The 12223-nt window shown below is 41.5% G+C and overlaps 1 protein-coding gene across 20 annotated transcripts in view, besides 1 other annotated feature; it reads right to left on the bottom strand.

Moving 5' to 3' along the window:
• Positions 1-12223, bottom strand: part of JARID2 (jumonji and AT-rich interaction domain containing 2) — a 275974-nt gene that overhangs the window by 58022 nt on the left and 205729 nt on the right. For 13 of the 20 annotated variants that reach the window (XM_017010833.3, XM_047418735.1, NM_004973.4 and 10 more), the window contains one exon: positions 11846-12015. The exons of 1 other annotated variant lie outside the window; for it this stretch is intronic. In XM_017010833.3, the coding sequence (XP_016866322.1) occupies positions 11846-12015 (170 nt within the window). Of the gene's footprint in view, positions 1-11800; positions 12016-12223 lie in introns of all 20 variants that reach the window. 6 more of the 20 variants (XM_011514579.4, XM_047418736.1, XM_047418745.1 and 3 more) reach the window with 1 other exon arrangement.
• Positions 2391-3048: an enhancer, noted in NCBI's record as "NANOG hESC enhancer chr6:15461204-15461861 (GRCh37/hg19 assembly coordinates)". NCBI's record gives its function as "activates a minimal SCP1, AML or CMV promoter by ChIP-STARR-seq in naive H9 embryonic stem cells {active_cell/tissue: H9 hESC(naive)}" and the evidence as "EXISTENCE:reporter gene assay evidence [ECO:0000049][PMID:30033119]".

Raw genomic sequence — 12223 nt, 5'->3', positions numbered from 1 at the left:
AATTAAGACATTTATATAAAGAGCATTTATTTCCTCTTTACCTACATACCAGCTTGATTATCTCATTTAGAAATAAATGCAGAGGAGGAAGAATCTGCTCAATACAAACAGGATGAAAGAAAGGATATTTCAAACCCCTCAAGTCAGATAGCAGCCCAGGGTGTTTATCACTGGAGAAAACTATTGCATATTTCTCAGTATGAAATGGGTGAATGGATGCATTACGTAATTATATTGTGCTGAGTCGGTAGAAACTTCGTATCTAGCAGACGTATTTGAAAACAGAACAGGCTGGGCAGGGTGGCTCACACCTGTAATCCCAGCACTTTGGGAGGTCAAGGCAGAAGGATCACCTGAGGTCAGGAGTTCGAGACTAGCCAGGCCCACGTGGCGAAACTCCATCTCTACTAAAAAATATAAAAATTAGCTGGGCATGGTGACAGATGCCTGTAATCCCAGCTACTAGGGAGGCTGAAGCAGGAGAATCACTTGAACCCAGCAGGCAGAGGTTGCAATGAGCTGAAACTGTGCCATTGCCCTCCAGCTTGGGCAACAAGAGGGCAACTCCACCTCGGAAAAAAAAAAAAAAAAAAAAGGAAAGGGCTCCACAACCCCACATGACCTTGCGTTCTCAGGGGTGGACTCTGCATGGCAAAAACACAAGCTCTGTTCACATTATTTAGCAAGTGAGAGAGGCTGACTCCTCACATGGAACACCACATCATATCACTCCTTTACAAACTCTCATTTTAGAAAAGTAACCAACAAAAGCTGTATGTTTTAGAGGTTTGGGAATTGTGTGGGATTTTTTTCAGGGGGAGCAGGGGAAGACTTTATGGGTGGTCATTATAAAAGTATAGTCAATATAGACAGTTTCCTATTAAAATTACAGGCAGATTTTCTCTCCCGATTATTCAAGTGCATTAGCAAATGTAAAAAAAATCTGAACTTGGATCAGATAAGAGCAATCAGAGTACGGAATGCATCTGCTCTTTGCCAAAGCCGTATTTCATTACTTTTCAGAATTAGCTGGCAATGTCTCCACAATATTTACTGAAGTGCAAACCAAATGTTTTCATCTGGACAAAAATCAAACTGTGGTATGTTACAACAACAACAGAGATCATTTTAATCCAAAAGCTTGCTTTCTCTAATTTAGGCTGTGGTTTCTATAAAATTGGATTCTTCTCTATGAATCATGTACACAGACAAGCCCTCCTGCCCATTATCTTCCCTCCCTCGATCAGTTCTTGATCTTAAGCAGCGAAACATCGCTTGGCTGTATTTTGGAAAGACCCTAGAGGGATTCCCTGTGCACTGTCATTTAGCTGCAGAGTCAAATTCTATTGCTTGACCCAATTACCATGGGGCTGGCCCACTGAGTTTGTGTTTCATCTTCGGGATACATAAACAGAATGAAAAGTAATCAACCCCGACTATCAAATTAAGAAACAAAACTTCAAAGTGAGCTGGCAGGGACTTGGGCAACGGATAGAAGATGAAAGAAGTCACAGAAGAAAGCAGTTGCACCCAAATACCCTAGTGCATCAATCTACGTATGTATGTATCAGCACTGTTCAAAGCACCAGAGACTCAAACAGGGCAGCTGTCTACATTCATCTCACATGTTCATGCATGCACAACATGTAAACACAAACTTCCCTAAAAGACTTTGGGACAAATATAACATGTCCAGTGCCAATCTCTGCCCATTCCTGGTCTGACTTTACAACTTATTAGGGAAGAAATTAAAACAGAATTTCCCAATTCGCATTCATTTGCCTACCATCCTAAAAGTATTTGCCAGATCCAGATGCTCCATGTGCTATTATTATCTGTAAGGTGACTTGCATTCATGTCTTAAATAATTTATCTCCATTGTATCAAGACAAAATTACTATCAATTGCCCTAAAGGAAAGGTAATGGTTAAAATTAAAATGAATGTAAAACGTTCACTTAATGTCCTTTCTGGTATGAAGAGGGATTTGTGTAGCAGAGATAGGGAAGCAGCCCTCAATAGCATGAGCAAAACACAAAGGGAATCCCTATTCCTTACTGAATACGGAGGTGCCTATCCAATCATGCTCATCTTGGGAATGTACTTCTTTTTAAATAGGTATTTCCAAAAAAAAAAAAAGATACCATCACTGAAGGGACTCTACATGGGATCCAAGACTCCAGGATGAGGCCATGGCTCTGGGAGATGCTTACTTGCCATGAGACTCGAGGTTACTCAACTGTATACAGAGCATAATGTCTTCAGTCGAAACATTTTTATGGCTCCAAACATAGGCAAAAGCAAGCTGAGTGACTCACAGTAAGGTGATATTATTATGCTCATAGGTATAAAATCATACTGTCATTCTTTCCATAGGTGACAGCATATCTTCTTTCCCAAATAGGAAAGTAACTAGATTGGTTGGTGACCAGAATCTGGGAGACAGGGGATGAAAATGCAAAATGAACTCAATGGTTAGAATAAGCTGAACCTTTGGTCTTTGTTAAGGAACAAGGAGGGATGACGCAATGACCTCCTAGATGCATGGCCAGTCTTTCCTTCAGCAACCCTCCCTCCTCCTCCTGGATTACAGCTCTCAAGAACTAGTGCAAACAAGCACCCAGGTGTGCCTATCTAATCCCACAAATAGGAAATTCCCGACATTAGGGTAGTATTCTATCTGCAAGTGCAATTAACATGTGGGACTTCACAAGGAGAATACAATGGTTATCATACCACCTTCCCTCCCAATCTCCTATTCCCACGCTAATCTAGCATCTTTGTCATTGAAAACTGTAACGTTCCCCTTACAACCCTTCCTATATTGTTGTCTGCACTGGCAATTTAAAACACATTCAAATACACACCCAGTCAAATGCCACAAGGTCTATCTATGGTTCGCTTCATCTCACTGAATATAGAAATCATACCACATAGCAGCAGCCATGATGGTGCTCAAGCCATCACGGTATTATCTCAAGTGGAGAAGAAGAAACCAGTAAGAAAGTGAACATTCTGGCTGGGTGCAGTGGCTCACGCCTGTAATCCCAGCACTTTGGGAGGCCAAGGTGGGCAGATACCCTGAGGTCAGGAGTTCAAGACCAGTCTGGTCAACATGGTGAAACCCCGTCTCTACTAAAAATACAAAAATTAGCTGGGTGTGGTGGGGCACGTCTGTATTCCCAACTACTCAGGATGCTGAGACAGGAGAATACCTTGAACATGGGAGGCGGAGGTTGCAGTGAGCCGAGATCACGCCACTGCACTCCAGCCTGGGTGACACAGGGTGGGAGACTTCGTCTCAAAAAACAAAACAACAACAACAACAACAACAACAACAAAATGAGCATTCTAACAGCCACTACAGACAACAGTCTTTGTGCGAATCATGTGAGGCCTTCCTCAGTTCCCAATGGAGAAGCTGAATACTCAACTTCCCTGCGGGACACAGACACCAGGGACTTTAGTGCTATAAATGAAACCCCTTCAGTCAGCAAGGTGCTTGGCCAACAAAACAGCACTGCCATACTTAAAGTCTTATTTCCATGTTCTCTAAGTGGATTTCAGAAAGACTCAAGGACTCTCTAGAAAGTAAGGAGAAGGCCAGAGATGACTCTGAGAAGTACTACTGAATCTGTGCCAGTACTCACTGGCAGCAAAAAGGAAGCCTGCCTTATCTTCAGGGAGGGCACAACATGGTCAGAGGCCAGCTGGCCTGTAGCAGGGAGAATCCTCACAGCAAAATGACCTACAGTCTTATTAATAACATCTGATCAACGTCACAGGGCCAATAAAAGTGATCCATCCTTCCCCTCCTCAGACCTCAAAAATTTCAGGGTTTCAGATTTCTTCATTATTAACTGATAAACTATCCCAACAAATGAAACAGGTAACTGACTCTAGGAGAAAACCAAGCATATGCAGAACGTTAAGGCCACTGAAAGCCCCTAGGCAGTGATGACACCGTTCTCAAACATACACTTTCACTACTGCTGCTCTCAAAAACTAAGATGCAACAACTCCCAGAGACCCTCAAAAAAAGTTGTGTACCACTGGAGACAGTGTGATTTCCTCCCCAAAGAGTTTACATAATGTAAAGTATTCCCATTTTGCTCAAGGAAGCTCATTATTAGCACCATAGTGTTCCTTGCAATTGGGGGATTACTTAATTGCTTTCTGGCAGGTTAATCCCCTTTCATTCTGTGACCTCTAAATCACCCCAGGCTTTTGCATTTGCCCTACTTAGAAATCCTAGTCCTCAATACTCAAGGCTAGGACCACATCAAAATATGTGTTCCTTGCCAATGAGGCCAGCAACGCTCTTTAGAAAAAACACCACAGGTTGGCTGTCTCTTCTATTACCTGTGGCCGATTCAGCTGGTCTTTTAGACAGTTCCACCTAAATCCAAAATCTAATAATCTTCCTCTCCACTACCTCTGCCTCAATTCACTGGAAAAAATGGTAAATAAATGTACAGTTGGACCTCTGTATCAGACACTTCTGCACCCATGGAATCAACCAACTGTCGATCAAAAACATTCAGGTAAAAAAAGGGACGGTTGCATCTCTACTGAACACATACAGACTCTTTTTTTCCTTGTAATTATTCTCTAAACAATATTATCTAACAAATTTACACAGCATTTACATTGTATTAGGTATTATAAGTAATCAAGAGATGATTTAAAGTATACAGGAGGATGTGCATACATGCAAATACCATGTGCCATGTTACATAATGGACTTGAGTATCCATGAATTTTGGTATCAAAAGGAGGTCCATAAATCAGTCCTCTGAGTTATCAAAGGATGCCTATATGTGGATGATCGCCTCAGGTATCAATTCTGGGCTATTTCATACCCATTAGCTCTGCAACAACTATGTGCTATAGACTCTAGAATATCCATTTCGCAGATGAGGAAGCTCAGGCTGAGAAATATTTAAATCATCTGCCCAAGACATGCCAGCCTTCTGCCAATGCCCCTAGAAAGAACTCCCTGCAGCCTCAATCGATTTTCTGCAGAGCTGCCAGTAACATCTTCCTAACCTCATAGGTGTATTATGATGTCACCCCTGACTTGAAGAACGCCAAGGGATACTCCAGTAACTAGCCCAGGGCATGCAGAATCTGAGGCTTATCCTAACTTTCTTGCTTTAACTCCAGGACCTCCAACATCAATCCATGCCTTGGCAGTTGCTTCTGCAGAACCCCTTCCCAGCACTATCCTCTTTCTGCAAAGATTCCTAATGCACTGTAACGCGGAGACCCGCAGCAAATGTCAGCATTCCTTTGCAGCCATCCCAGGGCCTCTCCCTTCCTGCTTTAATGGGTACACACTTCTATCCCAGCATTTTCACGCATTTATTGTTATATCCTCAATTTCACCCACCACCAATACTGCTTTCCTGTGTCTAATCTGTTTTCTAGGTGTCTAGCATACAAAAAGAGTTTAATAAAGGTTTGCTGAATTAATTAGCAACTGAATGACAGCTGATCACTAAAGATTCTGTAAGACAGAAGAAACAAAAGGCAGGCAGTTCCAAAACAAGACAGCATTGCTTCACAACGGCTGACAGTAAGGATATTTACGAGGAACTCCCCATAATAACACTCTCTTCACTGTGCCGAGCCGTGACGCTGAACTGTGATGCCCACGGTCATAGGAATGAACTGTGTATGTAGGTTTGCATGCTTCAGGAGTCCCCTTTGGGAATCCCCTTGTTTGCAGTGCCCCGTAAAGAGGAAAATGTAAATAAGAGAATCATTTAACCTGCCAGTGCTCTGCTACATTAAGCTCTTTTTAATCTGTTAATAATCATAGTCAGAACAAAGAGGAGACGACAGAACTCATTAAGAATAACCAGAGTGGTGACAGGGAATACGGCGATGGTACGAATCACTGCATGCAGCAAGCGCAAAACCCTCTTCCCCGCGTGTGCCAGTGAAAGATACTAATTATGCCTCTGGCAAGAGACATGTGGACCCCTTCAAAGCAGCTATTTAAAGATAAATACACTGCGGGCAAATACCTCGGGCCGGCTGCACTATTCATCCCATCCTCCTTTCCTGTAGAAATTTTAGGTCACAATATTAAATAGGAAATGAAAGAGCCTTGCAGACTTAGCTGGTAGTGTCTTAAAACAAATTTGTTTTAGATTTCTAAAGCTTTTAACCTCAGAATGACTAGCTGGGTGTTTACATATCTATACTAATCCCAGTATTAATAGTATAGGGTTTTTCCTCCCCATCTCAAAGATTTCTCACTGTCATTAACAGATAACAAACAAGGTTTAAAGAACTCCACTCGCTGTCTTTCCCTTGGCCTCACGATTTATTCTCTTCCAAATCCCAAAGAAGTGCCGAGAATATTAAAGGTAATAATTGAGGACTGGAGAAGGGAAAAAAAAAAAAAAAAAAGACCTGGATCCTTAGCAACAAACATCACTTCCAGGTGTTTGATTTGCTTCCTTCATTATTTCTGCAGCCAGACTTTCTTCCCTATAAATAATGAGCATATTAAAGACTGCCTTCTTTACCCCTCACAGTGCTCGCTGTCACCCAAGGGTGATGGGCTGACTGAGCTCTTTATGGTGAACACTAGAGGCTTGGGGATGTGACAAGCTATGTTTGCTTTGGAATCAGCACGAAAAAAGAACAGAATTAGGATGCAGGTGTAAGAAGGTTAATCGCATTCCCAACTGTCAACTTTGCCTGAAAGGGCTTCAACAAGGTGAAGATTTAACTAAGGATATGCGTCATTAGCAGTGGATATCAAAAAGGTGGAAATCTCTCTAAATGTGCATCAGGAATTAGATAAATTATGAGACATTCACCAAATGGAACATAAGCTATTAAAATGAAATGACAGGCATTTTTGTGACAGTGTTAAGTAGGAAAATCAGACTGCAAAAACGAAAGTATAATGCAATATCATTTCAGGAAAAATATGTATTATACATGCACACAGAATGCTCAGTAAAATAGTCACAAACAAGGTAATTAACAGCGGTCGTCTCTGGGAGATGGTGGAGATGCTATTTTGAATGCATTCTTTTGCCTACTTCTTTACCTTTCTTCTGCCAATATTCCCAAGATGAACAGGAACTACTTTTATGATTGTAAAAAAAAAAAAAAAAAAAAGCTTAACATCCTGTTTTTCTTAAATTAAAATGGAAATAAAATTATTAAAGTACCACAACAACAGGGATCACTATGTAACCTTTGTACACACTGAAATACAGGTTTTAATTAGCTCAAGAAACTACCTATCTTGATGCTATCTAGATATCCTAGATAGAAAAGATGCTATCTAAGGCCACCAAATCCATCAGATTTTCAGGGTCATGAAGCTATAATAAGCATCATCTGTCATTTGGGGTTTGTAGAGTCAGATCAGGTAAACACACTTATCCTCCCGGGAAAAAAAAATGGTATTTTAAAGCTAGGATGACTCATTTTTAATACCTCAGATCTAAAAAAAGTATAAAAGAAATAGCAAAACAGTACAATATTGTATACGAACAGAAAAACAAATAACAAAGCCTATTTTTATTGCCTAGCTCATATATGAAATTCATTTCCAAAGGTTCAGAGCATTTTTTTAAATTTGTTTTAAACATCTCCTAGGCTTTAATTATTTAAGCCTTTTTTGTATTTGACATCTAAAAGAAGTAAATTTTATCTATGAAAAGATGATTCTCTTCTGTCTGGAATCCTGAAACTTCAAAGCCAGGTACTTACTTGGTAATGTTTTCTCTAGATGGCATTTATTTGAACAATAAATAAGCATGCCTCCGCAACTAAAAGACTCTCCAGGTTTCCCAGAACCTCAGAAAATATAATGTTATAAGATAGTGCACGCACAAGTACATGTAGCACAAACACACATATTCCTCTCTACACAGAATCACTGAGACATTCCCTGATGGGTTTCTCTCCTTCTCTACCTTTGAGAACTAAACACAACAGTCACAATTGCGCCATAGTAAAGACCTGCATAACTAAATTCCATAATCAACAGAGCAATCTTCAGACATCCTAATGAAACGGGATTGGTGGACTGGTGGAGGCAGAAACTATTATTTCATTATTTACTAAGCAAAATGCCGACAGCAATTTTAGACATCAAAATTCCTTTCCCAAAAGTAGCCAAACTAGTTAAGTCATAGTTACTCTTTAAAGAACCTGGCTTCGCCGGGCATGGTGACTCATGCCTGTAATCCCAGCACTTTGGGAGGCCGAGGCAGGCAGATCACCTGAGGTCAGGAGTTCGAGATCAGCCTAACATGGTGAAACCCCGTCTCTACTAAAAATACAAAAATTAGCCAGGCGTAGTGGTGGGCGCCTGTAATCCCAGCTACTCGGGAGGCTGAGGCAGGAGAATCACTTGAACTCAGGATGCAGAGGTTGCAGTGAGCCAAGATCGCGCTGTTGCACTCCAGCCTGGGCGACAGAGTGAGACTCTGTCTCAAAAAACACACCTGGCTCCAATTACGTTTAAAAGCCATGCATATTTAGAAAAGGATACCAAATTATGGTTAGATAGGAGGAATAAGTTCTAGTGTTATATCCCACTGTAGGATGCCTACAGTTAGCAACACCCAGAAGGAGGATGTTGAATGTTCCCAACACTAAGAAATTATAAATGTTTGAGATGAGATATGCTGATTACCCTCATCTGATCACTTACATGTATCACAAAATCATCATGTGACCCATAAATATGTACAATTATTATTTGTCATTTAAAAAAAAAAATTTTAAGCCACGCAAGACCAAAGTCACAAATTAAGAGTCCCATATCACCATTGTTTTTTTTTTTTTTTTGAGACAAAGTGCCACTTAATTGCCAAGGCAGCAGTGCTGAGGCACAATCATGTCTCACTGCAGCCTCAAACTCCAGGTGTCAAGGATTCCACCGTGTCAGCCTCCACAGAGATGGACTATAGACGGCACAACCAAGCGCGGCTAGATATACCTGAATCACATTGCTGCTGATCCTTCAAAGATTCCTTTAGGGCAAATACATCCTTCTGAGTACACATCCCACTCGTTCTCCATTCCTGATCATCACACCACACTCTACCAGCCTCACAGTCTAGTGGCCATGTTCTTCTCTCTATATACAGCCAATCCAGCACAAGATTCTGTCATATTTAGTTCTCACAGCTTCCTTTCCATCTTCATACTCAACATGCAAGATCAGGAGAATCTTTCAGCCAAAATCTATGTAAAAACTAAGGCATGTTGGCTCATGCCTGTCATCCCAGCACTTTGGGAGGCCAAGATGGCATGAGAATTGCATGAGCCCAGGACTTCAAGACCAGCCTGGGGAACACAGCAAGACTCCTTCTCTACCAAAAAAAAAAAAAAAAATTGCTGGGTGTGGTTGCCTGCGCCTGTAGGTCTAGCTATTGGAGAGGTTGAGGCAGAAGGATGGCTTGAGCCCAGGAGGTCGAGGCTGCTTAGAGCCATGACTGTGCCACTGCACTCCAGAAGTGGACAACTTCTTATTTTGATATGAGACAAGACCCTGTCTCCAAAAACAAACAAAAAAGCTAATGGAGATAAACTGGTGGGAACCCCACCTACCTCGTATCTCCCTGTTTTCAAGGCTCAACAACCGACAAGGGCTACAAAATTTCTAACAAATACATTAATAACTCTCCTTTCTTATGTGTTAAGAATCACCAAGAACTATCCTATAATGTCAAAATTTCCCCCCCAACAATTCAGTCCCAAAGCCAATTAGTAAGGCAGGGCAATTGGGCAAGGAGAGGGGGTGAGGAGCAACCATATGGGGTGTCAGGGCTGAGTTTCCCATCGTGGGGGCAGCAGAGAAGCAGAGATGGGAGGTGGATTACACTGAAAAGACAGAGCAAGTAAGTATATTAAGGATTACAGGAGCCAAGTTCCTCAGGGATGAATGCACATGAACCTCCCTTAGTGTTAAATTGAAATTGGAGGTATGGCTGCTAACTCACGGATTTTAATATACACAGAACTTCGGATAGACCCTTATAAACATGCAACCTCAGTCTACTAAGAGCACCTGGGAGAAATGACATTCCCATAGTTCCCAGCATCCCTAGTGCCCAGATCTTGGCTCCTCAACAGCACTTATCCCTATAAGAAAGCAGTGCTCCTTGAAGACATGGCCAATTCCAGGACTGAGGGCGGGAAAGTACACCATGAGCCTGGAACATTTTGTTGTGCCAGAAGCAAGGCTGGAAGGATGACAGGGACATGTCAAATGGAATAAAAAGCCAGCCTGATGAGGATCCACGGATGAGGCGGTGATCTGGGACAATCTGAACATCAGAATACATAATAGGAGTAACAGATTATAACCCTTTGAATAAAATAGGAAGCCCATACGCATACAATTATGATAAAGATGATGAGAAGTATGTACTAGTTTCAAAGAATATCCTCTCTTAACACTTATACACTGCAAAGGCTGAGACGGGCAACTTTACTCCTAACAGGCCCACCACAGTCGAATGATCAGCATGAACACGAGTGTGGAAAGGGAAGGACTGAACTGTGTATCCCCACAGAGGACCCAACAACAAGGAGGAGGAATCACTTCCCTTGTGGCATTCCTGCCAAGAACACAAACCAGAATGTAATCATGAGGAAACACCAGGCACCCAAATTAAGGGACATTCTAAAAAATAATTGACCTGTAATTTTCAAGTGTTGAGGTCAAAGACAAACAATGAGGAACTCTTCCAGATTAAGCAGACTACAGACAATTAATGGCATCGCCTAATTCTGAACTGGGTCCTTTTGCTCTAAACTTGGACATTACAAAGCACCTTCAGAACAAATGTGAAACAGAGGTTTGAGGACTGCATGGGGGCCACGTATCACTGTGAACTTCTTAACTTTGACAGTTATAGGAAAATGTACTTATTTGAAGGAAAGACACACTAATGTATTGAGTGAGGGATGATGGGTGGAAACTTTTTAAGGTTAACTTAAAATCTGTCTGTAATAATAAATTATCAAAATATTTATCAAATAAAAGTGACTATGAACCTCAAGGTTTTCCCACAGATGTCCAATAGCAAAGGCCCTCTCCTTCTGCTCATTTTCTCTCAAATAACCTCACCCAAGGAACTCTCTGCATTCAGGACTTCCTAAATTTTCTATCATTCCTCCAGAAATGACTCCTTATTCTCTCAATCTTCTGTGTTCTTTCCTCACAGCTATTAGAAAACTTAGTAATAAGGAAACTGCAACAAACACTTTCACAAATAACTCTATTCAGCAGATCCCAAATCCACCTGGCCTCCGTTAACTGGTCCGAGTTGAAACATGGACCAGTATTTGCACTGTCAATTAGACTCTGAAAGTACCAGTACTGTTTTCCTTAACGTAATATAGGGCTGAGAGAACCGTAAGTCCCTCATCACCATGGCTTATTGACAGGCCTTAGGAAGCACAAAGAAAGGGGCCTTCACAGCCCCAAAGTCCTGCATCAAAAAAAAACTGCCTTACAAAACAAGTCAGCAATGTGTGTGTGTCAAGGTGGTGGTATGGTGCAGAGAAATCAAATTAGAAGTCAAAGTTAGAAACTGCATAATTGTGCATTGAGAAGCCAGGAAGTAGGGTGTTAAGAGTCATATTAAAAAGGAAATAAAACTTAACTGATGGTTCAAAAGCCACACCCAGCACACACTCTCTCGGTGGGATTTCTCACTTTCAATTCCCCCTCAACCCAGGTTGGGGACAGAAAAATGAACATGGCAGAGAGTAAAGCTAAGGTTACTCCACGTAGACCTCAGGCTTACATGTAGATTCCACGTAGACCTCCGCCGATGGTTGCAAAGTCTTACCTCGAAGGCAGAGAAAGGTAAGAAAATCTTCTGTCTTAGGCTTCCTTTTAGAGAGGTCTGATATCTGAGTAGCTGGAGGGGGTAGCAATGGCTCCACTATCTTTACTGGAGTTGTGCTGGGACTATTCGGCTGAGACTGAGCAAACTTCCTTTGTGCTTGCAGCCTGGGCCTGCAAAAGCAAAAGAAAATTAAAAATAAATTAAGCAGAGACTGGAGGATATAGGCCTACGTGCGGCAATAAAATCATGACACATAAGGGGAAAAAAGATCCTATTTCAAGCAAACTCTTCCTAATTAAGGTTCTATATCTCTCACACTCTCATAAACCACAGGCCTACTTTCAAGCGCAATAAATTTGGTTAAAGGACTATGTTTTG

Source organism: Homo sapiens, chromosome 6, assembly GCF_000001405.40.
Source record: "Homo sapiens chromosome 6, GRCh38.p14 Primary Assembly".
NCBI lineage: Eukaryota > Metazoa > Chordata > Mammalia > Primates > Hominidae > Homo > Homo sapiens.
Note: the sequence above shows the minus strand (reverse complement) of the source record. Positions and strands in the feature narration are given on the sequence as shown.